The 27,677-nt window shown below is 53.3% G+C and overlaps 3 protein-coding genes, 1 long non-coding RNA gene and 1 pseudogene across 7 annotated transcripts in view, besides 9 other annotated features; 2 read left to right on the top strand and 3 right to left on the bottom strand.

Annotated features, from left to right (window-relative positions):
• TEF (TEF transcription factor, PAR bZIP family member) overlaps nt 1–17,262 on the bottom strand; it is a 31,872-nt gene extending 14,610 nt beyond the window's left edge. Inside the window, exon 1 of one of the 2 annotated variants that reach the window (NM_001145398.3) lies at nt 17,118–17,262. In NM_001145398.3, the coding sequence (NP_001138870.1) occupies nt 17,118–17,184 (67 nt within the window). In that variant the 5' untranslated portion in view covers nt 17,185–17,262. Of the gene's footprint in view, nt 1–2,515; nt 2,776–17,117 lie in introns of those variants that run through there. The other variant, NM_003216.4, reaches the window with a different exon arrangement.
• Nucleotides 1,937–2,016: an enhancer, noted in NCBI's record as "active region_19113". NCBI's record gives its function as "activates an Ori minimal core promoter by ATAC-STARR-seq in GM12878 lymphoblastoid cells {active_cell/tissue: GM12878}" and the evidence as "EXISTENCE:reporter gene assay evidence [ECO:0000049][PMID:35858748]".
• Nucleotides 2,227–2,926: a silencer, noted in NCBI's record as "silent region_13787". NCBI's record gives its function as "represses an Ori minimal core promoter by ATAC-STARR-seq in GM12878 lymphoblastoid cells {active_cell/tissue: GM12878}" and the evidence as "EXISTENCE:reporter gene assay evidence [ECO:0000049][PMID:35858748]".
• Nucleotides 2,227–3,556: a biological region, named in NCBI's record as "Sharpr-MPRA regulatory region 9842".
• Nucleotides 2,798–3,092: an enhancer, noted in NCBI's record as "tiled region #9842; HepG2 Activating DNase matched - State 1:Tss, and K562 Activating DNase unmatched - State 1:Tss". NCBI's record gives its function as "activates a minimal TATA promoter and a strong SV40 promoter by Sharpr-MPRA in HepG2 and K562 cells {active_cell/tissue: HepG2 | K562}" and the evidence as "EXISTENCE:reporter gene assay evidence [ECO:0000049][PMID:27701403]".
• Nucleotides 2,806–14,069, top strand: LOC105373042 (uncharacterized). Of its 3 annotated transcripts, none has more exons than XR_938271.3 (3): nt 2,806–2,977; nt 9,543–9,683; nt 11,984–14,069. It is a non-coding gene; the product is annotated as an uncharacterized LOC105373042 (long non-coding RNA). The 3 variants fall into 3 exon arrangements; XR_938272.3 differs by lacking the exon at nt 2,806–2,977 and adding an exon at nt 4,348–4,381; XR_007068112.1 differs by lacking the exon at nt 2,806–2,977 and having other exon boundaries at nt 9,196–9,683; nt 11,984–12,407; nt 12,693–14,069.
• Nucleotides 2,957–3,556: a silencer, noted in NCBI's record as "silent region_13786". NCBI's record gives its function as "represses an Ori minimal core promoter by ATAC-STARR-seq in GM12878 lymphoblastoid cells {active_cell/tissue: GM12878}" and the evidence as "EXISTENCE:reporter gene assay evidence [ECO:0000049][PMID:35858748]".
• Nucleotides 7,434–7,540, top strand: RNU6-495P (RNA, U6 small nuclear 495, pseudogene; annotated as a pseudogene).
• LOC100996598 (uncharacterized) lies at nt 14,321–15,635 on the bottom strand. The gene is made up of 2 exons (XM_017029163.1): nt 15,492–15,635; nt 14,321–14,803 (listed from the first exon to the last, which is right to left on the bottom strand). The coding sequence occupies exons 1-2, from the start codon at nt 15,633–15,635 to the stop codon at nt 14,321–14,323; spliced, it is 627 nt and encodes a 208-aa protein (XP_016884652.1).
• Nucleotides 17,274–17,333: a silencer, noted in NCBI's record as "silent region_13785". NCBI's record gives its function as "represses an Ori minimal core promoter by ATAC-STARR-seq in GM12878 lymphoblastoid cells {active_cell/tissue: GM12878}" and the evidence as "EXISTENCE:reporter gene assay evidence [ECO:0000049][PMID:35858748]".
• Nucleotides 20,152–20,712: an enhancer, noted in NCBI's record as "H3K27ac-H3K4me1 hESC enhancer chr22:41760009-41760569 (GRCh37/hg19 assembly coordinates)". NCBI's record gives its function as "activates a minimal SCP1, AML or CMV promoter by ChIP-STARR-seq in naive H9 embryonic stem cells {active_cell/tissue: H9 hESC(naive)}" and the evidence as "EXISTENCE:reporter gene assay evidence [ECO:0000049][PMID:30033119]".
• Nucleotides 23,676–24,198: an enhancer, noted in NCBI's record as "H3K27ac-H3K4me1 hESC enhancer chr22:41756523-41757045 (GRCh37/hg19 assembly coordinates)". NCBI's record gives its function as "activates a minimal SCP1, AML or CMV promoter by ChIP-STARR-seq in naive H9 embryonic stem cells {active_cell/tissue: H9 hESC(naive)}" and the evidence as "EXISTENCE:reporter gene assay evidence [ECO:0000049][PMID:30033119]".
• Nucleotides 24,199–24,721: an enhancer, noted in NCBI's record as "H3K27ac-H3K4me1 hESC enhancer chr22:41756000-41756522 (GRCh37/hg19 assembly coordinates)". NCBI's record gives its function as "activates a minimal SCP1, AML or CMV promoter by ChIP-STARR-seq in naive H9 embryonic stem cells {active_cell/tissue: H9 hESC(naive)}" and the evidence as "EXISTENCE:reporter gene assay evidence [ECO:0000049][PMID:30033119]".
• ZC3H7B (zinc finger CCCH-type containing 7B) overlaps nt 24,570–27,677 on the bottom strand; it is a 58,623-nt gene continuing 55,515 nt past the window's right edge. The window contains exon 23 of the mRNA NM_017590.6: nt 24,570–27,540. Coding sequence (NP_060060.3) covers nt 27,288–27,540 — 253 coding nt within the window. The 3' untranslated portion in view covers nt 24,570–27,287. The remainder of the gene's footprint in view (nt 27,541–27,677) is intronic.

The raw sequence follows: 27,677 nt of genomic DNA, 5'->3' as shown, positions 1-27,677 counted from the left end.
GTTACTGTGGGCTCACTGAAAGTATGAACTGATTTATTTCCAGATCTCAAGGGCCCAACAAGGGGTAGGCAGACGGTGGACTATGGGAAAATATATATACTAACTGTAGAATATTGGATTTGCAAACAGATTCAGGTTAGGTTTATTAGAAAGGGCCTGGAGCTGTCTTTTCAGGACCCTTTTCAGAGCAACCATTTCAAGAGACCTTTATTCCTGAATAAGCAGAAAAGACTGAAGGCAGGTTTTCTGGGAGGAAGGAGAGGGGTGGAGTTGAAGAAGAAAGACTGCTCCTATTCAAAGGAAAACTAATCAATTAGTGGGGACTGGATCTACCCAATTGTCTCAGTCACAAAGTTACACATGTGGATATCCAAGAGAGGGCAATTAAAAAAAGAGAAGAGAGCAATGTGACAAGGTTGGAAGGAAATCAAAGTGACAGGGAGGCTAATCAGGGAAGTGGGAGATAAAATCATGACAAGCTCATGATGGGTTTTCAAAATTGAGGGAGACAATTTTGAACTCTGGATTTATAAGTGAAAAGGAGAAATCAAATATGATTAAGTTGGAAATAAACCAGCCACACATGGACTCCCAGACCAAATAGCAGCTTGTTGGTCCAATAAAAATGAACACACCCAGTGAGTTAAGAAGGTGGAGGTTTTGACAAACAACTTGGTCATGGCTTTCTAATACAAATTAATCTGAATTCCTGCAACTGCTTTCTATACCAGGCTTTGGTTTAAAACCAACTGAGAAGTAAGAAAGTCAAGCCTTGGTGGGCTGGGTGGGCCAGATGGCCTTCCTGCTCTCCTCCCTTGAGATCTGGACTCCTCACTCTGTTCAGAAATGACTGTGACCCATGTCGGGTGGGGTCATTTGGGATCAAAGGAGGCAGGAGAAGGCAGGAGATAGAAAAGCAGCCATAGTGAAAGACAGGCAACAATAAGTTCCAGGTTTTGCCTGGCCTAAGCAATAAAGGATACTTTAAATCAGTGTTTTTGTAAGGTGGAATTTTAAATTGTAAGAGATAAAGGACTAGTCCATCACTCAGGTCATGCAACAGTGGCTGCCAGCATGATACAGTAGAAAGAGCACCAAACTGAGGGTCAAAAGTTATAGCTGTGTGACCTTGAGGAAGCACCCTCACCTCCCTGAGCCTCAATTTTCCTCATCTGGGAAGAGGGGAGAATACCCTCTAGGACTGTTAATGAAATAAGATGATGTCAGCGTGCTTTGCGAGCACTCTACGAATATCGGGTAGAATTCTTGTTATGGATGGTTATTACCTGGTAATTTCAAACAAGAAACTGTCAGATGTGTACACCTGTCCCTGCAGCTTGTCTCAGCCCCAGATTTGGAACAAAGCACCGTCTCAAAAACAAACAAAAGGGTTTGTGCACATGAGGTCCCAAAGCAGGAGGAGAGAGGCTGGCCTCACCTGATGTGCTGAAGCTATTTATAACTCAACAGTGACAGCCACAGGGATGGGAGCCTCAGCATACACCCAGGAAAGGAAGAGAAATGGCATTTTAAAAAGGAAAATCCATTCCCCAGGCCAGACAACTCTCGAAGGCCTATCCCTTTCCCAAACCCTGAATAACTGATGGCTCTTGGAAATGCAAAGGTCTCACACTCAAAGTATACCTCAGTGCACCCACAACCCCACCACAGGCGGCCCTCCTGCTGCTCCCTGCACCCCATCTCCCAGGGCGAAAAACAAGGCCAGACCTGCTTTCCGTATACGCCCCAGTGACGTTCCTGGCCTAGGCAAAAAGATGAAGCTCAGTCCTGCCGCCGTGGCCCCAGAATCTAAGGGTCAGCCCCAACCAACCAGGCGAAGGGCCTCAGTGGACTCATCTGACCCTCATCGTTTCTCTGCTTGGCCCAAAACTCCCCTCCCAAGGCGCCTCACACTACTCGCCCACACCCCCCCCACCCGCTCAGCAGAAGCCCCGCAACAGAAAGGCTCCCGTTGGACCTAGTAGCTGGCGCTACTCACACCCAGGGAGGAAGCCAGGTCCCTCCGGGAGGGGTAAGGCCACGTACGATGACAGTTCGCTACCCTAGGCCTGCGCTTCCTAAACTTTGGTGTACTTGGAAAATAATGGGGGTGCGGTGGGGTGCTCCTTAAAATGCAAGACCCCTGTCCCAGTGACCGCAGATTGGGTGGGGCGCAGGAACCAGCAATTTAAACAGGCATCCCGAGTGACTCCGATGCAGGTGGCCCCGGGGGAGGGGCCCTGGAGCGTCATTTAAGTGACTGCTCCCGATCCCCTTCCGCCTCCTCAAAACCTCTCCCCACCCTCTCCCGCCAGACCCACCGTCTCAGCCCGCCCCTGACCCTCTGTCCTCAGCCCCCCGGCCTCGTCCTCCAGGCTCCTGGTCATCCAGGCCCCATCCCCCTCCGCTGGACCACTGCTCCCTGACCCACTGCCTCCCCGGCCCCGCCCTCACGAGGCCCCGCCCCTGTATAAGCCCCGCCCCCAGCCCGCGCGGACCACCCCCCCGCCCTCACCGAGGCGCGCCTCGCGCGGGGGGTTCTCCATCAGCTTCTTCAGGACCAGGGGGAAGGACCCCGACAGGCCCCTTTCCCCAGCTGCGCGCCCCGGCCCCGGACCGGGTCCTGCCTGCGGGTCCACAGGCGGCTTCTTTCCGCCGCCCGCGTCGGACATCGTGCCCCGGACTCGGCTCGCGCACCTCGCCTCCCCCGCCCGCCCCCCGAGATGGGCCGGAGCCGTGCGACCCGCTGCAGCTGCCGACACGGGCAGCTACTGCGCAGGCGCCCAATGGCGCCCCCGCCTCCTTCCATCGCTACCCCGCCTGCGGACCGGCTCTGGCACATTAATTATTCATGAGGCCAGGCCAGCTTCCCCGGATCGTTGCTCTGGATTGGTCCAGCCTGCGAGAGGGGCAGGCGCAGATCCTCGGGCCGTGATTGGTCGGGCAGCCGGGATAAGATAGACACGTGCGGGGCCAGGTGAGGACCCTCGCGGAGGCCCCGCCCCGCCGCCCCTGTGTCCCCTGATTGGCGCCTGCTGGAGTCTTTGTGGTGGGCCTTCCTCGGCGCGGTCCCTTCCCTCCTACCAGTGTTCCCCCTTCACCGCCCTCTTCATAACCCCCGCCCTCCCCAACCACCGCAGCCTCTCCCTCTTGTCCCCGACTTGCAACCTTCCCGACGCGCCACCGAAGAGGGGCGGAGCTCGGAGCGGCCAGGCCGGCCAAAGCGACCTATCCGAGCTCCTGCTCGCGCGGCGTGTCCACCCCCCGCGGGTCACGTGGAGCCGCAGCCGAGTCTGGTCGCGGGGGGAGGGGGCAGAGGAGGAAGGCGCGGGAACAGCCAATGGAGGGCGGGGGCGGGGCCCGGGGCGGTGCACGAGGCGCCGCACGTGCGGGGCTGTGGCGGGGCGGGAGGGGAAGGGAGGGACGGGTCTTTTTGTTCTGGGGACTCTGCCCAGGGTCGCGGGGCAGGGACGCTGAGCTTAGCCCGCACTTCTGCTCCCACGCGACCCAGAGGTCGCCTGAGGGCAGGGCCGGGGACCGCGACCTGCCAAGTCGTAGGGATGGCCTGAGCAGGCTTGGCCGCCCTAGAGCGGGGTGTCGGGTTGCCCACGCATCCAGATCAACACTAGCGTGGAGGGAGCATTCCTGAAGCTCTGACCTGAGCCAGGGCCCGAGTACATGTTTCCGCCCTCCCACTTACTAGCTTATGACCTTGGGAAAGTCCGGTTGCTTCACTGGAGCTTGTTTCCTCGGCCATAAAATTAAGAGGTTGGGCTAGAGAATCTCCACAGTCCCAAACAGATGTGAAATTCTTTTCCTTTCTAGAACTCTCCCTTCTTTTACCTAGAAAACAAAAACCTCCTTGACACCAGGTACCGATGCCACGTTTTGTGGGAGAACCACCTCCTCTCTTAAAATATAAAGCCTCCCCGGGAGTTCCGCAGAAATCCGTAAAAATGTAATATGTGGCGCGGTACACAAATGGAAAGCTGCTCCTAAACAGCGCTCAGAACTTTGTACCTCTTTATAGTACAGATCAGACTCCGCTGCAAACCCAGGCAACATTAGACTCCCCGCTTAACTCCCGGAAGGCAGAGAGCTTGGCTTGTTTATCCAGCATCCCTACAGTGGCCCAGCCCTTCTAGCAGGAGGGGTTGGGGGGGTGGTATAGTGATAGTCCTTGGTTCAGGGGGTAGATGCATGATCCAGACACCCACAGCCAGCTAAAAGTTATCAAGCTGATGCAATCAGAATTTTGCTGGGGCTGGGCTTGGTGACTCACGCCTGTAATCCCGGCACTTTGGGAGGCAGAGGTGGCGGATCACCTGAGGTCAGGAGTTCGAGACCAGCCTGGCCAACAGGGCGAAACTCCGACACTACTGTAAGTACAGAAATAATTAGACGGGCATGGTGGCTGGCGCCTGTAATCCCAGGTACTGGGGAAGCTGAGGCACGAGAATCGGTTTGAACCTGGGAGGTGGAGGTTTCAGGGAGCCGAGATCGCGCCACTGCAGTCAAGCCTGGGCGACAGAGGGAGACTCCATGTCAAAAAAATAAATAAATAAAAATAATTTTGCGGCGGGGTAAGGAGGAAAAAGAAGTTGGGTAGCTGACCAGGCCTGGAAAGCAAGAGATTTGAAGGACTTTGGGTGGTGGTAGAGACAGGATGATAGGTCTGATTCCAAAATTCAAGCTCTCACTGCCACTGTAATTGAACCTCAGTCATTTTCTGAATCTGATGCCTCGATTGCTTTACCTTTTCAGGCCTCCTTTTCTTTTTATTTTCTTTTCTTTTCTTTTCTTTTTTTCTTTTTTTTTTTTTTGAGACGGAGTTTTGCTGTTGTTGCCCAGGCTGGAGTGCAATGGCGCGATCTCGGCTCACCGCAACCTCCGCCTCCCAGGTTCAAGCGATTCTCCTGCCTCAGCTTCCCGAATAGCTGGGATTACAGGCATGCGTCACCACGCCCGGCTAATTTTGTATTTTTAGTAGAGACGGGGTTAATTTTGTATTTTTGGTAGAGACGGGGTTTCTCCATGTTGGTCAGGCTGGTCTCGAACTCCTGACCTCCGGTGATCCACCCGCCTCGGCATCCCAAAGTGCTGGGATTACAGGCGTGAGCCACCGCACCCAGCGTTTTTTCCTTTTATGCCAAATGGAGTTAGGGCAGGCTCTACCTTATGGTGTTTTTGTTTTTTGTTTTTTGTTTTTGAGACGGAGTTTTGCCCTTGTTGCCCAGGCTGGAGTGCAATGGCGGGATCTCGGCTCACTGCAACCTCTGCCTCCTGAGTTCAAGCGATTCTCCTGCCTCAGCCTCCTGAGTAGCTGGGATTGCAGGCGTGCACCACCACGTACGGCTAATTTTTTTTTTCTTTTTTCCGAGACAGAGTCTCACTCTGTAGCCCAGGCTGGAGTGCAAATGGCGGGATCTCGGTTCACTGCAAGCGCTGCCTCCCGGCTTCCCGCCATTCTCCTGCCTCAGCCTCCGGAGTAGCTGGGACTACAGGAGCCCGCCACCGTGCCCGCCTAATTTTTTGTATTTTCTATAGAGACGGGGTTTTACCACATTGGCCAGGCTGGTCTCGAACTCCTGACCTCAGGTGATCCACCCGCGTCTCCCAAAGTGCTGGGATTACAGGCGTGAGCCACCGCGCCTGGCCTACCTTACGGGGTTTCTGTGAGCCAATTTGCGTAGGCGCACAGTTGCAAACCTTCAACAAATTTAGTTTTCATAATTTTACTAAAACTGGTTGGCATATCCATTATCCCAGAGGTTAGTGTGGTGCCTGTGTCACTCTCTGTAGTGAAAATAGTTAATTGTGTACAGAAAATTTGTTGTGTTGTAGAATTGTTAGTGAGAATTCTGTGTGTGGCGAAACTTAAACACCTTTAGGGGAAGCTAACCTAGACAAAGGACATTCCAAGGAAACTGATTAAACCAATACAGGGCTGGGCGTGGTGGCTCACCCATGTAATCCCAGCACTTTGGGAGGCTGAGGCAGGCGGATCACCTGAGGTCAGGAGTTCGAGACCAGCCTGGCCAACGTGGTGAAACCCTGTCTCTATTAAGAATATAGCCGGGCACAGTGGCTCACGCCTGTAATCCCAGCACTTTGGGAGGCCGAGCCGGGAGGATCACAAGATCAGGAGATCGAGACCATACTGGCTGACAGTGAAACCCTGTCTCTACTAAAAAATACAAAAAATTAGCTGGGTGTGGTGGCGGGCACCTGTAGTCCCAGCAACTCGGGAGGTTGAAGCAGGAGAATGGCGTGAACCCGGGAGGCGGAGCTTGCAGTGAGCCGAGATCACGCCACTGCACTCCAGCCTGAGCGACAGAGCGAGACTCCCTCTCAAAAAAAAAAAAAAAAAAAAGGCAAAAGTTAGCTGGGCGTGGTGGCGAGTGCCTGTAATCCCAGCTACTCGGGAGGCTGAGGCAGGAGAATTGCTTGAACGTGGGAGGCGGAGGTTGCAGTGAGCCGAGATCGTGCCACTGCACTCCAGCCTGTGGGACAGAATGAGACTCTGTCTCAAAAAAAAAAAAAAAAAAAAAGGAAGCTAAGGAAGCTTTTTAAAAAACCTGCTAGTTTGGCCATGAGGAGACTTGATGGCTTAGAATCATACCTATATAGTCTCATGGCTAATACGACATTATTGCTGGGAAGAAAAACCCATTCTCAAAGTATTAGACAATGATTAATGATAACAGTGGAAGGTTCTAACACGTGTTTATGAGAAAGATGGGATGTAGTAAGAGGAAGTAAAGATTTAGATTTTCTTTTTTTAGCTGTAGTTATCCAAAACGAATAATGCCTACTCCACTCATCTCCCAGCCTGGAGCAGCTACCCTAACAGGCAAGTGACGCTGGTGAGAAGTGAGACCAGCGGGTTAAGCCTCCAGAACTTGGTGTTCATGTACTGACACTCCCCAGAGAGAGTTTTTTCCCCTGGATAACCAGAGGGTAGATGATGTGTCACAAATACTGCAGGAGCGTTGCAAACACGTTCTCTATCGTGCTTAATTGCCAGCTGTGAGGGGTTAGCTACATCAGTTTACAGCATTAAACAGTGCCATCCTGGAGGTGGGAGCTATTATGTTCTCCTCTTCATTCTCCACCACAGCAGCCTCTCTCTACCTCTGTCTCCTATCACTAAAGTGGGAATATTGGTGTGACCTTGCCCCGTCTTAGTGGAGGAATAAACGTTGGGAGAACTAGTTAGCTAATTTCCATAGTTTGTGAGCCCGACAAAGAAATAAACCCCATAAGAAGAACATGTTATTACACGATTAAGACTTTAAAGGCTGAGAGATTAGAGAGGCTTTTCAGGGGGAAAAAAGAGAAAGAGAAAAATAAAGGTATGGTGTGGAACAGTAGCCCAGCCTGGGCAACATAGTGAGACCTCATCTCTACAAACAGTAAACAATTAGCCTGATGTGCTTGCCTCAGCAGCGCAAATACTAAAATTGGAATGATACAGAGAAGATTCGCATGTCCCCTGTGCAAGGATGACATGCAGATTCGTGAAGCGTTCTGTTTTTTCAAAGAAAAAAAAATTAGCTGAGTGTGGTGGTGCGCCTGTACCCTAGCTACTCAGGAGGCTGAGGTGGGAGGATTGCTTGAGCCCAGGAGATCAAGGCTGCAGTGAGCTGTGATTGTACCACACTGCTCTCCAGCCCAGGTGACAGAGAGAGACCCTGTCTCCAAAAAACCAAAAACAAGAAACAAGACCACACTGGTTTCTTTAGGGAAGCATGGGTCCTGGGGCAGCAGTGACTTTGTGGGGAGGCCTTCCTCAGTTTCTGACCCAGCCACATGGCCATGGGCAAGCGACTTCTCCTGTCTAAACCTCAGTTATTTTCGCCTTGGAAACAGAGATGGATACGCCCGCCTCACAGGATGGTTGTGAGGATGACCTGTGATGTGCAATGCCAAGTGCCCGCCTGGCACGGTGTGCAGTGTGGAGTGGGTGGGTACCCACCCTTCCCCTTCCGTTCAAGCTGTGTTGGGTCAGGAGTAGTTATTTTGTGTGTGAGGACAAGGCTGTGGGCCTGAGGGTGGGTTTAGAGTCTAAGCTACAGACAAGATTGGATGTGAAATGTCCATTTTCCAAAGCTGGACGACTGGCTGTAAATTCTAGTCACGACTGTTCCAGAAACCTGCTAACTAGCCCAAGTTAAAAACTTTGTTCAGGCCTGGCACGATGGCTCAAGCCTGTAATCCCACCACTTTGGGAGGCCGAGGCGGATGGCTCACTTAAGGCCAGCAGTTCAAGACCAGCCTGGCCAACATGGCAAAACCCCATCTCTGTGAAAACTAGCCGGGCATGGTGGCAGGCACCTGTAATCCCAGCTACTCTGGAGGCTGAGACAGGAGAATCACTTGAACCCAGGAGGCGGAAGTTGCGGTGAGCCGAGATTGCGCCACTGCACTTTAGCCTGGGCCACAAAGCGAGACTCCATCTCAACAACAACAAAAAAACAAAAACAGAACAAAAACTTCGTTCAGTAGAGCATAAGCAGAACAAGTGATTTTCATTAAGCCATTTTGCCAATTTGGATTATTTTTACTTAAACTTGAAGTTTAGAGGAGCTAAAACTCCAACACAGGAGCCTTTGGCCAGATACCCTATAATGATCTCTTTGGCCATATATTCCGCACCTAGTAGAACAGTCCCACTCTGTTTTCTGGCTTACTGAAAATGGGACATGGGCCTGGGACGTGTGAGAGCAGGAGGGTGATAAGGCTTCTTCCATTGAGCTCTAAGAAAGCCCGGTTATCTGTGTCTTTTGCGCAAATCAAATGCAGGAGGGCACGATGCTTTGTTCAGGGTAATAACCCAGTAAAAATATACTTTTTTCTCTTTTTTGAAAAAATCCCCACCCTATCAGTAAATATTTGTTGGCTTGCTTTGTTCTTGGTACTAGTAGGACAGTTAACCAAACCTTTCAGAGCTAAATGATATGCATTTGGAGCAATTTTTTTTTTTTTTTTTTGAGACAGAGTCTTGCTCTGTTGCCCAGGCTGGAGTGCAGTGGCGCAATCTCGGCTCACTGCAAGGTCTGCCTCCTGGGTTCACACCATTCTCCTGTCTCAGCCTCCCAAGTAGCCCGGCTAATTTTTTTGTATTTATAGTAGAGACGGGGTTTCACTGTGTTAGCCAGCATGGCCTCGATCTCCTGACCTCGCGATCCGCCCGCCTCGGCCTCCCAAAGTGCTGGGATTACAGGCGTGTGCCACCACGCCCGGCCGCATTTGGAGCATTAATAACATCAAATAACAGGCATTGTGTTTGATTCACAATTGAACCTGGAACAGCAAACATGAGCCATCCTTTGGCAAGTCTGCCCGCACAAGCCTTGCCAGCAGCTCTCCTTTTTAGCCCACATACCTGTGCCTGGGCTCTGTGGTTTGTACCCTCCTTGGTCTCAGTGTGTTCCAGGGGAGAAGTGGTGGGTGGAGGCTCTTTACTGATTCTTGCCCTCCTCGTCAGTACTCTCAAAAGTGCTAGTTTCCTGTTTGTCTTGCATTCTGTCCGCTACCAGGGCTTGGTCTGCAAATGGAGAGCTCCCTCAAGAGTGCCCTTTCCAGAGAGAAGCCCTCACCTCTGCCCTGTGTGATGTCTCAGAAGCCACTACCAGATAGCCACGGTTTCTGCAGTCAAAGACGTGCTGGAGGGGACAGAGGTGGGCCTCTGGAGCCAGACCCCCTGGGGCTGACTCCTGCTTCCACTTTAGTCGGCCCTTGAACAACAGGGGTTTGGACTGCATGAGTCTACTTACATGTGGATTTTTTTCAACAAAAGTTACACTAAATTTGCCTGCCTCTCCTGCCTCCCCTTCAACTTCTGCTACCCTTGAAACAACAAGATCAACCCCTCTTCTTCCTCCACCTCCTCCTCTTCCTCAGCCTACTCAATATGGAGACAAGGCTGAAGACCTTTACAATGATCCACTTCAACTTAGTTAAGATTCTGTTATGATTTTCTTTTCTTTTTTTTTTTTTTGAGACAGTTTTGCTCTGTCCCCCAGGCTGGAGTGCAGTGATGCTGTCATAGCTCACTGCAGCCTTGAACTGCTGGTCTCAAGCAATCCTCCTGCCCCAGCCTCCAGAGTAGCTCGGATTTCAGGTGTGCACTGCCTTGCCTGGCTAATTTTTTTTTTTTTTTGAGACAGAGTCTTGCTCAGTTGTCCAGGCTGGAGTGCAGTGGCGCGATCTCGGCTCACTGCAAGTTCTGCCTCCTGGGTTCACGCCATTCTCCTGCCTCAGCCTACCGAGTAGCTGGGACTACAGGTGCCCGCCACCACGCCCGGCTAATTTTTTTTGTATTTTCAGTAGAGACAGGGTTGCACCATGTTAGCCAGGATGGTCTCGATCTCCTGACCTTGTGATCCACTTGCCTCGGCCTCCCAAAGTGCTGGGATTACAGGCGTGAGCCACCATGCCTGGCTTGCCTAGCTAATTTTTAATTTTTTTGGTAGAGACAGGGTCTCACTATGTTGCTCAGGCTGGTCTCAAACTCCTGGGCTCAAGCACTCCTCCCACTTCAGCCTCCCGAAGTGCTGGGATTACAGACGTGAGCCACTGCGCCCGGCCATGATTTTCTTAATAACATTTTATTTTCTGTAGCTTACTTTGTTGTAAGAATACAGTATATAGGCTGGGCGCGGTGGCTCATGCCTGCAATCCCAGCTCTTTGGGAGGCTGAGACAGGCAGATCATGAGGTCTGGAGTTCCAGACCAGCCTGGACAACATAGTGAAACCCTGTCTGTACTAAAAATACAAAAATTAGCCGGGTGTGGTAGCATGCGCCTGTAGTCTCAGCTACTCGGGAGACTGAGACGGGAGAATCGCTTGAACCCTGGAGGCAGAGGTTGCAGTGAGCCGAGGCCACACCATTGCACTCCAGCCTGGGTGACGGAGACTCCGTCTCCAAAAAAAAAAAAAAAAAGTCCGGGCGTGGTGACTTACGACTGTAATCCCAGCACTTTGGGAGGCCAAGGCAGGTGGATCATGAGGTCAGGAGTTCAAGACCAGCCTGGCCAAGATGGTGACACCTCGTCTCTACTAAAAATACAAAAATTATCTGGGCGTGGTGGTGGGCGCCCATAATCCCAGCTACTCAGGAGGTTGAGGCAGGAGAATTGCTTGAACCTGGGAGGCGGAGGTTGCAATGAGCCTAGATCACGCCACCACACTCCAGCCTGGGCGACAGAGTGAGACTCCGTCTAAAAAAAAAAGAAAAATATACTATCTAATACATATAGCATACAAAATATATGTTCATGGACTGTTGATGTTATCTGTAAGGCTTCCCATCAACAATAAGCTATTAGTGGTTAAGCTTTTGGGGAGTCAAAAATTATATGCAGATTTTCTACTGCATGGCGGGGCAGCATTCCTAATCCCTGTGGTATTCAAGGGTTAACTGTATTTCTTGGTGACCTTGGACAAATTGTTGAACTTCTCTGTACCGTGGTGTCCGAAGTAAAGTAGTCCATTCAGGCACAGTGCTAGGACACCACCTGGCCTATAGCATGTGCTCGGTCAAAGTTAACTCTACTGTAATTCCTGCTTGGGTTGTTCTGGGGATACCTAATTTCTCCCCACCAGCCACTTCCCCAAGAATAGTGAGTGTGAGGGTCCTTACAGACAGGGAGATGAGAGCGTCACTCCTCTTTATGACCGTCAAAGCTCTGCAGGTGCTCGCCCTTCGGGTCTCTCCAGCCTCACCTGGTACCCCTCTCCCCCTTGCTTGCTTTCTGCAGCCATGGTGGCCTTTTATTCCTCAGACCCGTTTTCTTTCCTGTCCCAGGAAGGGCCTTTGCAGGTGCTCTTCCCACAGCCTGAAAGTTCCTCGGGTAGCTGGCTCTTCCTCACCCTCCAGGCCTCCAGGCCTCAGTTCAAATGCCTCTCCCTGGGAGAGGCTGGTCCTGACCACCACCGCCTCCTGCCTAAACACAGCAGATTCTCTCTCCCCTCTAGAATCCAAACACCAGGGGAGCAAGAGTAGAGTTGGTTTCATTCACCCCGGGCTCTCCAAGCATAGCAAACGCTCTGGAAGCACGTGATGAGTGGCTGGGTGACGAAGAGCTACGACCCGAGACATGGTACCCACATGGGTACCCACCCTATGGGTAGACACGAGCCTGGTGTCAGGAGGAACTGGGTTTGAATCCTTCAACAACTGTGTGGCCTTTCCTCTCTCTGAGCGTCGATGTCCTTATTCGTAGAGTGGATGATCATACCTTCCTTGCAGAGCCATTGCACAGATAGTGACATAGGCACACACAATACAGTCCTGGCTCACGCTCAGGAGACAGTGGCTGTCAAGTCAGGAGCCCGTCCTGCAGCAGCCTAGCCATCTGGAAGGATCACTCCTCGACATGCCGTCAATGCCTGGCACTTGGTAAGAATGAGTTTCTCACATTTCTCTGAAGGGATGGGGTGGGGGGCAGGTAGAGAAGAAGGCTCTGGGCACCTAGGGTGGGAAGGAAGAAGAGAGAGACTGGCCCTGAGGGTAGCCAGTGCCTCTTTGTTCATTTTCTCACCAGAATAACAGGGGAAATATACCATTTAGAAAGAGGCAGTGAGGATTAAATGAGCTAGCATATCCAGCACATAGAAGGCCCTCTCCCCATCCTCGTCCCTGAAAGCAAACTCCTCGATTTCTCAGTTTTGCTCTGGTTCCCAGGCTGTGCATGGAGGCAAACACAGGGCCCTTCACTCAGGCCAAGCTCAGGAGAGCCCAGGCTGCACCGAGTCCACACTCTCGGCTCATTTCCCTCAGTCCACCAAGAGGATGACACCAAGGCCCCCTCCTGTACCCCTGCCTCTGCCCCAGCAAGTCCTACTGAGATCCTGCCTGTTATGAAATGGGGCTGTCCCATTGGGTGCAGGGCAGATGGCACCATGCCTCTAGGAGCCTCAGCATGTGTTTCCAAGGAGACAGCCGTGTGTGTGTGTGTACACACCAACTTGTACCATCCAGTTCTTCAAAGGAAGGTGGAAAGAAGGGAATGAGGGTCAGGTTGCAAATGGGATGTAGGTGGAAGACGCACGACGCCAGGCCATGCTGCTGTTTGCCTTTCACAGAAAAAACCAGCACAGCATCTCACGGTTTGCAGACACTTTCACATGGGATAACTCACTTAATCTTGGCAACAAGCTCATGGCACAGATATTCTTTTCCGCTTTTTAAAGTCTGGAGATGGAGAGAGAGGGGGGCAAGTCCCAACCAGTGGGTTGTAGAATTAGGATTTGTGGCCTGACTCTGATCATAAGCCCCCTGCTCTCTTCCCAGGGCCACACTGCCTTGCCTAGAAAGGATTCTAGATCAGGAGTGCCCCTACGTGGGGATGCCGCCTGCCCAGCCCAAAGCAAAGGCCTTGTTCAGCCTTTGAGGTGTATGTTCCGGCTTCACAACTCCCTGAAACGGAGGCCTGAGTGACCGGAGATGGCAAGAAAATGGGAGGAGGTGTCTCTAAGCATGGCCAGGGCCCCATGGGAGAGGGAAGTATAGGGTATAAAATGCTAATCATATGATTTAGAGACACAGTGTCTTTCCAGAAGCTGGAAGAGAAAGACGTTAAGAGCTGGAGTGAGCAGTCTGGAACAGAATCAACTCTTGGAAAAGTATCCTTGGGAGACAGGTTGGGAGTGAAGACAGGAAGAGTGGTTTTCAGGATTTAGGGCCCAGGGACATAGAGGGGAAACTGAGTCAGGGCTTGGCTACAGACCCACCCTTTTGCTGGAAATGGATTTCTCTGCCAAAAGAGAAATTGTTTGAACTCATGGCCTAGAGTGAAGGCCACCAAGAAGCCATTGTCGTTGGAAGCCAAGGGAGTCTGGGAGCTGGTCAGCTCTGGTGGAGAAAGTCTGTTTATCCAGGGACAGGAAAGAGGCAAGGTCTACACGGGCTGGGCTGGGAGGCCCAGGGGCAGCACGAGGGAGAGGGACCCCAAGTCTGGGTTTCAAGGGGCATCAATGAACTAGAAAACGGAATGAGGCTGGGTGCAGTGGCTCACGCCTGTAATCCCAGCACTTTGGGAGGCTGAGGCAGCTGGATCACTGGAGGTCAGGAGTTTGAGACCAGCCTGGCCAACATGGTGAAACCTGTCTCTACTAAAAATACAAAAATTAGCCGGGCGTGGTGGCGGGTGCCTGTAATCCTAGCTACTCAGGAGACTGAGGCAGGAGAATTGCTTGAACACGGGAGGTGGAGGTTACAGTGAGCTGACGTTGCACCACTGCACTCCAGCCTGGGCAACAGAGTGAGACACTGGCTCAAAAAAAAAAAAAAAAAATGCCAGGCGCAGTGGTTTACACCTGTAATCCCAGCACTTCGGGAGGCTGAGGCGGGCGGATCATGAGGTCAAGAGATAAAGACCATCTTGGCCAACATGGTGAAACCCCATCTGTACTAAAAATACAAAAATTAGCCTGGCGTGGTGGCGGGCGCCTGTAGTCCCAGCTACTCGGGTAGCTGAGGCAGGAGAATTGCTTGAACCCAGGAGGCAGAGGTTGCAGTGAGCCGAGATAGCACCACTGCACTCCAGCCTGGCGATAGAGCAAGACTCTTATCTCAAAAAAAAAAAAGGGGGAAAGAGAAAATAAAAGAAAGTGGAGTGAGAGGCTGCACGGAGCGGAGAGCATGGGGAGAGCACACCTGGAGTTTCTCACACTCCGCAGACTTTCCTGTACACTTCCCTCCCACTGGAGGTGAGATACGCTCTGCACATGACCTAAATGTGTGCCGAAGCACAGCCATTGGGCAGGAGAAAGAAGAGAAAATGGGGAGTTTGTAAACAGTCATCCAAAGAGATAACTGCCCCCTTCCACTGGACGGGAGCAGCAGGAAGTCCACCAAAGCAAGGGCACGCGGACCTGAGGGCATCCCTGTTTTCTGGAGCACCTGGCCTCTGTTGTCTTTCTCCAATTCACACCCAGAGTCAGAGCAGTGGCAGATGGAAGAGAAGCCACTTCAACAACTACTTAAGTACATGGTCCCTGATGGCAAGTAATTCTGTAATCATTCTGTGTGGTGGCTATACCCTCTTTTCAACAAGGTCTATTGCTTTTCAGGTAGACGTTTCTGTTTATAAATGGTCTGGAGATTCGGGCAGCTTTGGGAAACTGATTGCAGATTAGGGGGCAGTAATGTGCTGCAGTCATTGTGAGTCCTGTGGCTCTTCAGCCCTCTTCCCCTCATTTTATCTAGCAGTTGGCTGCTGGCATCTGTCGGTCCTGTGGGACCTCATGCTTCTCACTCTCAGTGAGATGCCACATGAAGTGACAGGAGGTGACCCAAGACTGGCCCACACCCCTTGGACCTGCCCAGCCATGCTGGACTAACTAATTCTCGGCCACAGCTTGCCAGTGCTCGGCAAAGCTCTGCCTGAAACCTTGGGCGGTCCCCTATGTGCCAGGCCCTGACTTTGCTCATCCACAGTGAGGGAGGGGGACTTTTCGGCTATTGCAGGGCCCCACAGACCAGCTGGGAGCCAGAGACCGGCAGCTGCTGCCACACTTCAAAGGCCTTGTTATCCTCATCTGAGGAGCAGTGCCCCGAGTCGCCCCTGAGAATCCTCCCTGCCCCACTGGCAGCCTCGCCCTTCATGTGTGTGCTGGGGGGCATCCTGGGACACCTTGGGGGAGCCAGGAGGGACTGTACCACCCTTCCTGGGTTCCTGGACCAAGGAGGGGACCCTCTACCTTAGCTTTTGGAAATGTGTTCAGCTCTGCCCACCCACACAGGCCACTCAGAGATGCCAAAAAAGTCAGCTGTGGCTTGTTTGTGGGTGTGGACTCCAAATGGGGGCAGATCCCTCCGGCTGAGTTGCAGAGGGCTTCGCTGAGGAGGTGGGCTTCTCATGGTGAGCAACTGGTGTCCCCAGTGCTAGGAGGCCACAGGAGCGCCTTCTGTGACACTCTTCTCAGAGGGTGGCCTGGACTGTCCCACCATTTGACAGCATGGAGTGTGGTCGGAGGGGCCTGAGCCCAGAGCTGCGTGCGAGAGCTCCGGAGCCCCTGCCCTAAGCTCCCAGTACGTCCTTCCCCGTTCGGGCAATGTCTCCCTGGGGCTAGAACCTGCTGACCCTCCTTTCCTGGCTTAGCCCAAGCAAACCCACACCCAGTTCCAGAGGGGTGAAGGGAGGCCGGGGGCTGTGGGATCTGTCTCCTGGCTCTGGTTTGGGAGTGGGCTGAGAGCGTCCTGTGGAAGGAAGGAGTCCTGCGGGGACAACCAGGGCCACCTGGTGATGCTAGGTAGCAGGTGCTGGCACAGCAGGATGAGAGGGAGGCCTGAGAAAGGTCCCCTGAGAGGACACCCCAGGTGCTCAAGTCAGACTCAGGCAGCAAAAGCCAGCTGGGCCCCTCTAAAGGCAAGGAGGAGTTGGAGCCCTGGGGACCTGGGGGTGACCTCTGACTTCTGGGAACAGAAGAGATTTGGAGAGAGATTTATCAGTATTCTCCGCCAAACTAATCTGGCCATGGGGTTCCCAGGCAGGACTTGGGAGACACCTGGTGCTGGCCACCAGGTCTGCCCCTCAGTCCACGCCCTCCTCTCTCCTCCCTCGCGCGTTTTGCCTGTGGTATCCTAGGAACGCAGGGCTTCGAGCCTTGTGGTCCTGTTACATAACAGTTTCCATCCCATCCATGAGTTCAGCCCTCCGGCAAGCGGGAGCTGCAGCAGGCGCACCAAGGAAAGCCTCTGCTTCAGACCCAGGCTCCTGCTGCCCAAATCCACAGTCCCTGCCGCTCCTCTGCCACCCCCAGCGTACAGGGGGAGGGAGCTTCAAAAGCAGTCAGCATCCAGCCAGATTCTTTCAATAGGACCCCCTGTCCTGTCCTGGTCCCACATGAGCACAGCACCTGTCAGTGGCCACACACTGGCCATGGCTTCCCCAAATCCAGCAGGCCTAGGAGAGAGTCCCAGAGCCGGTGTGACACATGCCTCCTCGAACCCCTCTCCGCACTCTGCACCCTGAGACCAAGGGCGCACCACTGCTGAGACCCTCCCTGGCTTGGAGATGCCTGTCCTGCCACTGTGCCTGTGGCTGCCCCCTCGCCCCCTCGAGTACCTGGGCAGCCAATCAATGCAGGTCACCTGTGCTCCTACCTGTTCTCTTCTCTGGCCAAGGCAGAGAGTGCTCCAGCAGGGACTTGAGGACCTCAGGCATGTCCATGGCAGGGGCCACTGAGAACCAGTCGCAGCTCACACAGCCCAGCAGGAGGTGCTTGCTCCAGGGAGTTCAGAGGCAGCTGGAGAGGCAGGGGCCGCCAGCCGCAGGCTAGGGAGGCAGGCGGGGTGGGAGCCTTGAGGCAGCCAATGGCCAGCACCAGTCCCAGCCCGCCCGTCCACCCCCGGCTCGGCCACCTGCCAGCTCCGGCTGCAGCCAGGCCTTCCCTTCCCGCTGCTTGGCAGGGCGGGCCTGGCCCTGCGCCAGCTGCAGCACGTGGAGCTGTCGCGCCAATCCTCTGACAGAGAGCCCAGCCTGTTATCTAACTTTGGAAAGGGAAGTTCTCCCCCAGGCTGGGAGCCATAACTGGGGCTGCCAGGTGAGAATGGTAAGCTCCACGCCCACAGCAAGCACGCATCAGCATGGAGGTGCCCTGGAGGCCCAGGCACGCAGTGGAAACCATCCCGGGCTGGGACCTGAGGCTCCAAGAGAAAAGGAGGATGACAGGCAAGGACAGCACCTCAGGCAGCCGAGCACAAGACACCCTGTGTTGGCAGATGCAGGGATGCGGTCGGACATCATGCCTTCACCTGTGCGCTTCTGAGCCTCAAGGGCTTGTGGCATGTTTTGATGCTGTGTTTATGCCATGCACACGTACCCTACAAGGCACGCCAGTGTACATATGGCATGCATAATTGGAGCTTTATACCATCTGCACAGCCTGAAGCCTGTTCCCCAAAAGGAAGTGATAAAACCTACCGCCTCAGGTTCTTTGGTCTTCAGGGGAGAGGGGAAAAGGGGCAGGTGCCAGGAGACCAGGCACCACTGAAAGGGGGGCAGCTCTGCCAGCCTGCTTCAGGCTTGTCCTGGATGAGGAATCCCTGCTTCCCAGTCATTGTGGGGACTTAAAGTGCCAATTGGCTATTTGCTGTAGTTCCCTCTCATACCCTCCCACCAGGACGCTGGCCCCTGTGGTCCTTGGGTTACTTGAATGGGTGAAGCAAAGGTTCTGGATGTCAACCTCTACGTCAGACCAACATCACGTCAAAGCCAGACTTGCCGGGGGATGCCAGGTTCTCGATTCTGCCGTACATTGCTGTGGGATCTTGAGCAAGCGTGGCAGCAACTCTGGGTCTCAGTTCCCGAACCACCGAATGCAGTGACCTCTAAGGTGCCGTTCAGCTCTAGTTCTATGGCTCTGAAGCTCCAGATGGGCTGCAATAAACATTTGGTTTTCTGCGTGGTAGCTGATTTTTTTTTTTTTTTTTGAAACAGGGTCTTTGTTGCTCAGGCTGAAGTGCAGTGGTGGGATCACGGCTCACTGCCTCATCCTTACAAGTAGCTGGGACCATAGGTGCATGCCGCCACACTGGACTTTTTTTTTATAAAGACACTGTTGCCCAAGCTGGTCTCAAGTCCTGTGTTCAAGCCATCCCCCGGTCTTGGCCTCCCCAAAGTCTTGGGATTATGGGTGTGAACACTGCCCCTGGCCTGTAGCTGGTTTCTAAGCAGTGCTTTGTTGTTTTCCAAAATTCCATTTTGTACAGAATCAAAAATACTCCAAGAGCCCCTTCTGGCTTCTTCCTTTCCCAATGACCTCAGCTTATACTCTTAATTACCCTCCTTCCCTCCCTAATGACCCTCCCCAAATTATGCTCTTTCCCAAATTAATTAAAAATTAATTTTAACTTTTGAATACAAAAAACAATACGTGGCTCACAGCTCAAAACCTCCGATAAGGTTTGTTTATTTATTTGTTTATTTAGAGACATAGTTTCATTCTGTTGCCCGGGCTGCAGTACAGTAGCAGGATCTCAGCTCACTGCAACCTCTGCCTACCAGGCTCCTGCCTCAGCCTCCTAAGTAGCTGGAATTACAGGCACACACCATTACGCCCAGCTGATTTTTGTATTATTAGTAGAGGCAGGGTTTCGCATCATTGGCCAGGCTGGTCTCAAACTCCTGACCTCAGGTGATCCGCCCTCCTCACCCTCCCAAAGTGCTGGGATTACAGGTGTGAGGCACTGTGCCCAGCCTCAAGGAAGTATACTTTAGAAATGTCCTTTCTATCCCTGTCCCTCTTTCCCATTCCCCAATGTTTCTTTTTGCAAAAGTAAACATATATATGTATATATTTATGACACACACACACACACACAAACATTTAATTTTGCAGAGTTGTATGTTTTGACCAGCAGAGAGTGTTTTGTAACTACAAAGGAGAGACCCCCTTACTGCTGTTTCCAGCCAGAACCCTGGCCAGTGCCCTTTGCTCTGCAACCCCGGGGGTGAGGGTAAGGGTGAGAGTGAGCCTGGTGCGCAGGCCCCCAGCTGACCTGTGATTTGCAGTCAGGGGTGGACTCAGGCTGGGCTGCCGCATTCACCATTCCTCGGTCCAAGAATTCTCTTGAGTGCAAGACCGCTTATCACAAAGGTGGAGTGGGCAGGTGTCCATCGGTATGATCTCAAAAGGAACAGGAAGCACCCTGTGTTTCTCAAACATACCCACCTGCTGCAAGACGTTTTTCTCTTGGAAATTCATTCCGGTGAGCTCTCTGCAGGCTCCTTTTTTTTTTTTTTTTTTTTTTTTTTGAGGCGGAGTTTTGCTCTTGTTGCCCAGGCTAGAGCACAATGGCGTGATCTCGGTTCACCGCAACCTCTGCCTCCCAGGTTCAAGCAATTCTCCTGCCTCAGCCTCCCGAGTAGCTGGGATTACAGGCATGCACCACTGTGCCCAGCTAATTTTGTATTTTTAATAGGGACGGGGTTTCTCCGTGTTGGTCAGGCTGGTCTCAAACTCCTGACTTCAGGTGATCCACCTGCCTCAGCCTCCGAAAGTACTGGGATTACAGGTGTGAGCCACCGTGCCTGGCCTCTGCAGGTTCATTTTAATGTGCGAATGTCCTAAGCCTCTGAGACTATGAATGAGTGCTTATCACATACCTGGCACCAGCCTAAACCCTGTGAGGAATTCAAAGTTAACATACCCAGCCAGGCAACTCCCTATCCTTAGAGAACTTTCACACCACCAGGAGTCCATGTTGGCAGCCCCCAGTCGGCACTCAGTGTCCAGCTGGCAGCATCCCCTAGGTCAGACAGGGACCACACCAGTGGGTTGCTGGGCCAGGCAGCCAGGGAGGCCAGAGGTAGTGGGAAGGGAAGGCCGTATACATACCTAGAGACCTTCGGACGGGGGCCGTATGCTGGGAGTGCTGGAATTGTCTGCACTTCTTGGACTTCGTAGCTCAGGGATCTGATGTCCACTGCAGATGGTCTGAGGTCTGTTGGTGTCCTTATCAATGCCACTGAGCCCATTCCTATGCCCTGCGCTTGAGTTTTCATCAACTGTATTTACCCCCAGTTCACTAGGAACATGGTTTTTTTTTTTTTTTTTTTTTTTTTGAGATGGAGTCTCGCTTTGTCACCCAGGCTGGATGGAGTGCAGTGGCGTGATCTTGGCTCACTGCAAGCTCCGCCTCCCAGGTTCACGCCATTCTCCTGCCTCAGCCTCCCGAGTAGCTGGGACTACAGGTGCCCGCCACCAGGCCCGGCTAATTTTTTGTATTTTTAGTAGAGACGGGGTCTTCACTATGTTAACCAGGATGGTCTCAATCTCCTGACCTCATGATCCACCCGCCTCGGCCTCCCGGAGTGCTGGGATTACAGGCGTGAGCCACCGTGCCCAGCCGGAACATGGTGTTCTTTGTGCCTACAGCTATGTCTCCTTGCAGGGGAGCTGTAATCCCAGACAGAAGTCTGGAGTCAGAGTCACAGTGGCTCCCTAAGAACATCTAACGCCTTGTGCAGCTGAGAGGCCGGGCTGAGGGAGAACTTTATCAAGAATACGTTCTCAGCCAGGCACGGTGGCTCACTCCTGTAATCCCAGCACTTTGGGAGGCCAAGGTGGGTGGGTCACCTGAGGTCAGGAATTCTTGACCAGCCTGGCCAACATGGTGAAACCCTGTCTCTACCAAAAACACAAAAATTAGCTTAGTATGGTGGCATGCACCTGTAATCCCAGCTATTTGGGAGGCTGAGGCAGGAGAATGGCGTGAACCCGGGAGGCAGAGCTTGCAGCGAGCTGAGATCACGCCACTGCACTCTAGCCTGGGCACAAGAGCAAGACTCCGTCTCAAAAAAAAAAAAACAAAAAACAAAACAAAACAACAAAACACGTTCCCTGTGCCTCGTCCTCTCCTTGAGCAGCAGCGCATATATATTTACTTCTAGGCCCGAAACGAAGGTGCCAGAAGAGGCTGGCATAATCTTACTGATCATCAATTGAGCAGGTCCAGTGGCTCCAGCTGCGTTTTTCTGAGGACTGGGGGTTGTTTCCCAGGGAGGTTGCAAAGGGCTCCCAGGTGTGGGGATAGACGGATGCAATTATTTGCAGAACTGTCAAGGGCTTTCTCTAGAGGTGTAGAGCTGAGGCAGCTGGTGCGCTGTGTTGGTCGTGCTCACTGAGGCCCCTACTCACAGGGCTGAAGACCAGACACAGGGCTGCGTTCAGTAACTGGAAGCTGCTTAAGCGAGCTCTGACTCATCAATAGGATGAATATCAGCTACTGACCATAAATATCCAGGTGACACGGGTACATGGAACTGCACATGTGAAATAAAAATTAAGAGAGAAAGATGCAGAACAGTAAGTGACATGGATTACAATGATGAATCTTTTTGAAGCTTCAATTCCAGTTTCACCTCCTCCAGGAAGTCCTCCCTGGCTGCTGAGCCTGGATGAGGTACCTCCCCTGGTTCCCTGAGTGTCTCCCCCCGTCACCCCCATCACATCATTCTACAATCTTCTATTACGTCGGTCTCCTTTAGCACTGACTGAACTGAAGGGGAAGCAGTTTCTTAAGTAATCCTGTATCCCTGGATCTGGGATAGAGTGGGTGCTCAGTTGATGTTTACCAATCTGAGCCACGTGAGGACCAGAAGAGAATTTAAGGGAATTGATGAGAATGTACAAGTTTATTCCACTAGGTTGATTGAAGTCCTGCTTGTATTTTTTTTTTTTTTTTTGAGACAGAATCTCACTCTGTCACCCAGGCTGGAGTGCAATGGCATGGTCTCAGCTCACTGCAACCTCTGCCTCCCGGGTTCAAGTGGTTCTTGCACCTCAGCCTCCCAAGTAGCTGGGACTACAGGCGTGTGCCACCACACCCGGCTAATTTTTGTATTTTTAGTAGAGACGGGGGTTTCACTATGTTGGCCAAGCTGGTCTCGAACTCCTGACCTCGTGATCCACCCTCCTCTGCCTCCCAAAGTGCTGGGATTACAGGAGTGAGCCACTGAGCCCGGCCTCTGCTTGTCTTACTCTTTAATTGTTCCTTTATTATTTATTTTTATTTTTTTGAGACAGGATCTTGCTCTGTCTCCCAGGCTGGAGTGCGGTGGTGTGATCATGACTCACTGCAGCCTCAACCTCCTGGGCTCAAGCCAACCTTCCACCTCAGCCTCCCAAGTAGCTAGGACCACAGGTGTGGACCACCATACCCAGCTAATTTTACTTTTTTTTTTTTTTTTTGTAGAGATACGGCTTTACTGTTGCTCAGGCTAGTCTCAAGCTCCTGGCCTCAAGTGATCCTCCTGCCTTGATCTCCCAAGGCAGGATTACAGGAGTAATCCTGTAAGGTCTTGATGCAGGCACGCGATCTCTCCAGCCTAAGCATGAGTCTGTATTTTTCTTCCGGGAACTCTGCCTTGCCACGCCACTTCGGTTTTTCACAGTGCATCCAGAGGTGCTGTGAATTCCAGAATGTCAGGGCGGAAGGGACGTTTGCCGATACCCAGTTCCCAGTGGTTCTCGATCTTTTTTCTGCCTCCTTCCTGAGGGTCCTTGGAACCTTCACTGAAACTCTCTGGGCTATAAATGTGGACAGTGAACTTCCACGGTTGCTGTGAGGGACGGATGTACTAGCTGCACAGTACCTGCTGCAACCAAGATGCTCAATAAAGCTGGCTGCTTTTGTTCCTCGTGCCATCATTTATCAAGCATCTGAGCGTCTACTGCACACCTGGCCCAAATGACTCCGTCTTCAGGCAATTCTCTGGTCCTGAACCGCTGTCCTGGTCCACTCCACACTGCAGTTTAAAGCTGTCTGGGAAGCCGGGCATGGTGGTGGCTCATGCCTGTAATCCCAGCACTTTGGGAGGCCAAGGCGGCGGGTGGATCACTTGAGGTCAGGAGTTCGAGACCAGCCTGGCCAACATGGTGAAACCCTGGCTCTACCAAAAATACAAAAATTAGCCAGGCATGGTGGTGGGTGCCTGTAGTCCCAGCTACTGAAGAGGCTGACGCAGGAGAATCAGTTTAGCCTGGGAGGTGAAGGTTTCAGTGAACCGAGATCGTGCCACTGCACTCCAGCCTGGGTGACAGAGTGAGACTCTGTCTCAAAAAAAAAAAGGAGAAAAAGAAAAAAAAGCTGTCTGGTGAGAGCTTGCTCTTGGACATGAGCAGTCCCTCCCTATGGGACCCCCTCTATCACCTGCAGCCATGCACAATCCAAAAGATTTGACAAAGTACCTCCCACCCCAGCAGACTGAGTCCCTGAGAACTCCAGATCTAATATATCAGCTCCTTTTATTTATTTATTTTTGAGACAGAGTCTCGCTCTGTCACTCAGGCTGGAGTGCAGTGGACCGATCTCAGCTCACTGCAACCTCCGCCTCCCGAGTTCAAGCGATTCTCCTGCCTCAACCTCCCAAGTAGCTGGGATTACAGGCATGTGCCACCATGCCCAGTTAATTTTTGTATTTTTAGTAGAGACGGGTTTTCACCATGTTGGCCAGGCTGGTCTCAAACTCCTGACTTCAGCTGATCCGCCCACCTCGGCCTCCCAAAGTGCTGGGATTACAGGTGTGAGCCACTGTGCCCAGCCCCCCCGCCAGCTCCTTTTAAAGATGAGGAAACTGGACCCATGTGACTTCAGTCTCCCTTGGGTTCACAGAAGCCAGGGTTGCAGTCGGGATCACACTGGGCATCATAGGCGAGGCATGGTCCCTGCCTTCCTGCAAGAGCCACCTCCAGAAAGGGCAGAGGTGGGTCCTGGAACCCAGCTGGGCACACACTGCAGCGTAAATGTAGGGAAGTGTGGGCACCGCTGGCAGCCCCACGTGGAAGGCTGAGAGCAGGCAAGCTGCAGATGAGCCAGGGAAGGGTGGCAAGTGGCAGCGTGTCGCTGCCAGTGAGATGCTGCCGGAGCCAGGGTCGGCTGGCCTCCGTGTGTACACAGGGACACAGACCTGCCCCTCACCCCTCGGAATGCTTAGCATTCCTCAGAGTAGCTAGTACCGGCCAGGTCTGTCCCATGAGGACAGAGCAGCTAAGGCCCCTGGATATAAGTACCAGGTGGGGAGGAACAGGAGTGACATCTCGGGGACAGAGGTCAAAGTGCACAAGTTTATTTTCTAGAACAAAGGCTAAGGGAAGCAAGTTTCTTTCATTTTATTTTAAGAAGGACAAAAATTGTTATTAAAACATCTACATTATTATCAAGATACTAGACCTTATGAATATTTAATATTAAAGTGTGGTATTCTTAAATTTTTAATACACAGACATTTTAAAGGACCATTAAATTGATTACTGCCCAGCTGAGAAATGCAGCATCCCTCCCCACCCACCCCGCCCCCATGCTTGCCATGCCATCTTGTCCCTGCCTGCCGGGGGGAACACAGGTCCCAGATTCAGTCCTCTGAGCCTCCCAGCCTGGGGCCCTAGAAGGCTCACAACTGAAATAGTTACCCTCATCATTAAAAGGGTCTTCCTGTCCCTCCTCCCCATCACACTCTGCCTCCCACTCTCTCTTCCTTACCCTGTGGGGGCTCCAGCTCTGGCCAGGCCAGGAAGCCCCAGATCCCAAGGGTCCCTGGACAGATCACAGGCTGAAGATGAAAACTCTGGACTTGAATCCTGTTCTTTTCAGCGGGGAGACAAATACAAATCACCTTCTTTCCCTGAGCACTCCCACTCTCTCCGCACTCGATGGGGGTGGTCTGGGAAGCTAGCAGAGTTGGGCCTGGGGAGGGTGGCTCCTGTCCCTGGCTGCCCGAATCACCTCTGAGCCATGGCTCCAGTCCCTGTCACCTTGCAAATAGTCCAGTGGCCCCTGAAACCCTCCTAATCACACAAGGATGGCTGCATTTTCTGGCCAAATTCTTTATCTTTAGCCCTCATAAAAGTGATTCCTTGGATACCACACACATATATAATATTATATAGAGCGATATATTTAATACCTGTGTATATATGCATCACGGGGGCGACATATATACACACTAGAAACAAGGCTGGTGACAACGGACTGCAACACCACGGATCAGGGAAAACGAGTATCATCGACATCACGGCCACACATGGCCACAGCCCCCACCTTGGGTGTGGTCTCCCCTCCCCTACAGCCACACCACCAGCACCCAAACTCTGCAGTGCTGGCCTGCTGCGGCCAGGGGGTGGGGCAGGGAAGAGGAAAGGGCGCATGCCACGATTATCAGGAAAGGTTGGGCAGTGGCGGCGGGAGGAACAGCGTCCCCTCCAGCCCTGGGCAGCCCATCACTGTGTCAGCGCGCGCTGGCAATCCTTGCTTGAGAAGAATGGGGTGGTCCCTTCTCTCCTTCTCACCCCCCTACAGCCTAATCCCTGGTTCCTTCCGGGGCTGCCCCACTCCTGTGCCAATGATGTGGGGCATTCTGGAATGTCTGGGGAACCAGGGCACGGTGGATCTGCCCTGGTTGATGGAAGGTAGGGTGGAGAGGAGGGGGGTGCACACAGACATGTCAGACGAGAGGGACGAGCGAGGCCTTGGTGAGTGGGGGCAGGGGCTGGGGGTCCACTGAAGTCCCAGACAGCTGGGAGGGCCAGGGATTAGGGAGGGGCTAGGACAGACGGTTATAACTGTATGTCTGGGTCTAGAGGAGAGGACATACTGGGTCCCCAAGAAAGAGGGGCCGTGTCCCATCCTGGAGTGGCCCATGGTGCCCGGGGTCAAGCCTCCCTTTTCTCCGCATTCCCCCAGACCCTCACCCTTCCCACCTCCCACACCTCACACAGATCCTGAGCTCATGGTGTCCTGCCCTCTGCCACCTTTCCCAGAGCGCATGTCAGGAGGTGACCTCTGCTGCTGCACCCAAAGGGACCATCCTTGGGAGGGGGCGGTCCCTTCATGGGGTGCTCACATGGCCAGCCCTCCTCTGGGCCTCCCCTCCCCAGCCCCCAGGCAGCGCTGCCTGGGACCCCAGCTGCACACTGATTCAGAGACCATCGCATCCCTGCTGAGGGGACCGTGGGCTCAGCCAATAATTGGCCCTGAGTCTTTTCAGCCCTGTTTTCATCCCAGCTCTGCCTTGTGCTGGGACCGTGGGTGGACCACTCCTCCCTTCTAGGCCTCAGTTTTCCTCTCTGCAAAATGGGGTTTGGGCTGGATCATCTCTGAAGGCTCTGAGGACCTACAGTCTATTTTCACTGGCCCACGAGGGAGCAGGGTTCAGGTGGTGGCATCAGAGAAAGGGCTGGGACTCCTTAAGCTCCAAAGATCATCTAGCCCACCTCCTCCCAGCCTTCCGGAGGGAAAGCTGAGGCCCCAGAGGGTAAGTGGCCAGTACAGTGTTCCCAGCTCCAACCTGGGGCTACATTTTAAAGCTAATGGGGCCTCTGCCCTCTGTTGTGTCCTGATTTGCCCCCAGGGGGAGGGGGTGGGAGGAGGACGGGCCAGGGAGAGAAGGACCCTCCTGCTGGAGATTCAAGTGGGGACCCCAGGCTCCCCAGCCCTGAGCTTTGGGCCCCCATTAGGAGCAGACAGAAGTTAAAGCTGGAGGCTGAAGCTGGAGGGGTCAGCCAGGCCCCTCCCTCCTCAACCAGGAGAGCCGTGGGGGTGGGGGAAGGGCAGCCCAGGTTTCAGCGGGGCCTCCGGGGGCTGCAGCACGTGCGCCTGGGTACGCACACCGGGGCGGTGGTGGGGAGAAGATGGACAGGGCCTCAGGGGGCTGGGGGCTGCCTGATGAGGGCGGCCCCCCACCCCCCTGGCCTGCCCTGACCCTTCTATCAGGCCTTCTGGCCCCACCCCACCCCCTGACCCCAGGACTTCACCCACGGCCAACACCTGGCCCTACTCCCCAGTGGTGGCGGTGGCAGCAGCAGCAGGGGCTTCTGGGGTGGCACCGGCAAGGTCCCCGTCCTCTTGCAGCAGGAAGTTGTATTTGCCAAAGTCGTCGTCCCGTGGGCACAGCAGCATGTCCTTGCGAGCCTTGGCCAACTTCTGCTTCAGCACCTCGCGCCGGTCCAGCCACTCGTTGAGCTCCTCCTGTCCATGGGCGCAGCGGCACTTGTCCCCATCTGGGCAGGCTTTGCCCTTCTGGAGCCTGTGGGTGGCAGGAGGCTCACTGCCCGAGCTCTGTGCCCTTCCCACCCCAGGCTGTCCATCTGGGGCCGGCCGCTTGACCTCCCCGAAGACAAGCCTCTCCCTGGGCAGCTGGGTCCCAGCTCAGGGAAAACCTGG

This window comes from Homo sapiens, chromosome 22 (assembly GCF_000001405.40).
Source record: "Homo sapiens chromosome 22, GRCh38.p14 Primary Assembly".
Classification (NCBI taxonomy): domain Eukaryota; kingdom Metazoa; phylum Chordata; class Mammalia; order Primates; family Hominidae; genus Homo; species Homo sapiens.
The sequence above is the reverse complement of the archived record's forward strand: the minus strand, read 5'-3'. Positions and strand labels throughout refer to the sequence as shown.

Bases quoted from the DNA above. Each gene is read 5' to 3' on its own strand.
- LOC100996598 (XM_017029163.1), bottom strand. From the start codon at position 15,635: ATGCCCCCCAGCACACACATGAAGGGCGAGGCTGCCAGTGGGGCAGGG. The intron at 14,804-15,491 runs GTCTGTGGGGCC...GGATGACTGTTT, and splicing joins CGGTCTCTGGCTCCCAGCTG to ACAAACTCCCCATTTTCTCT.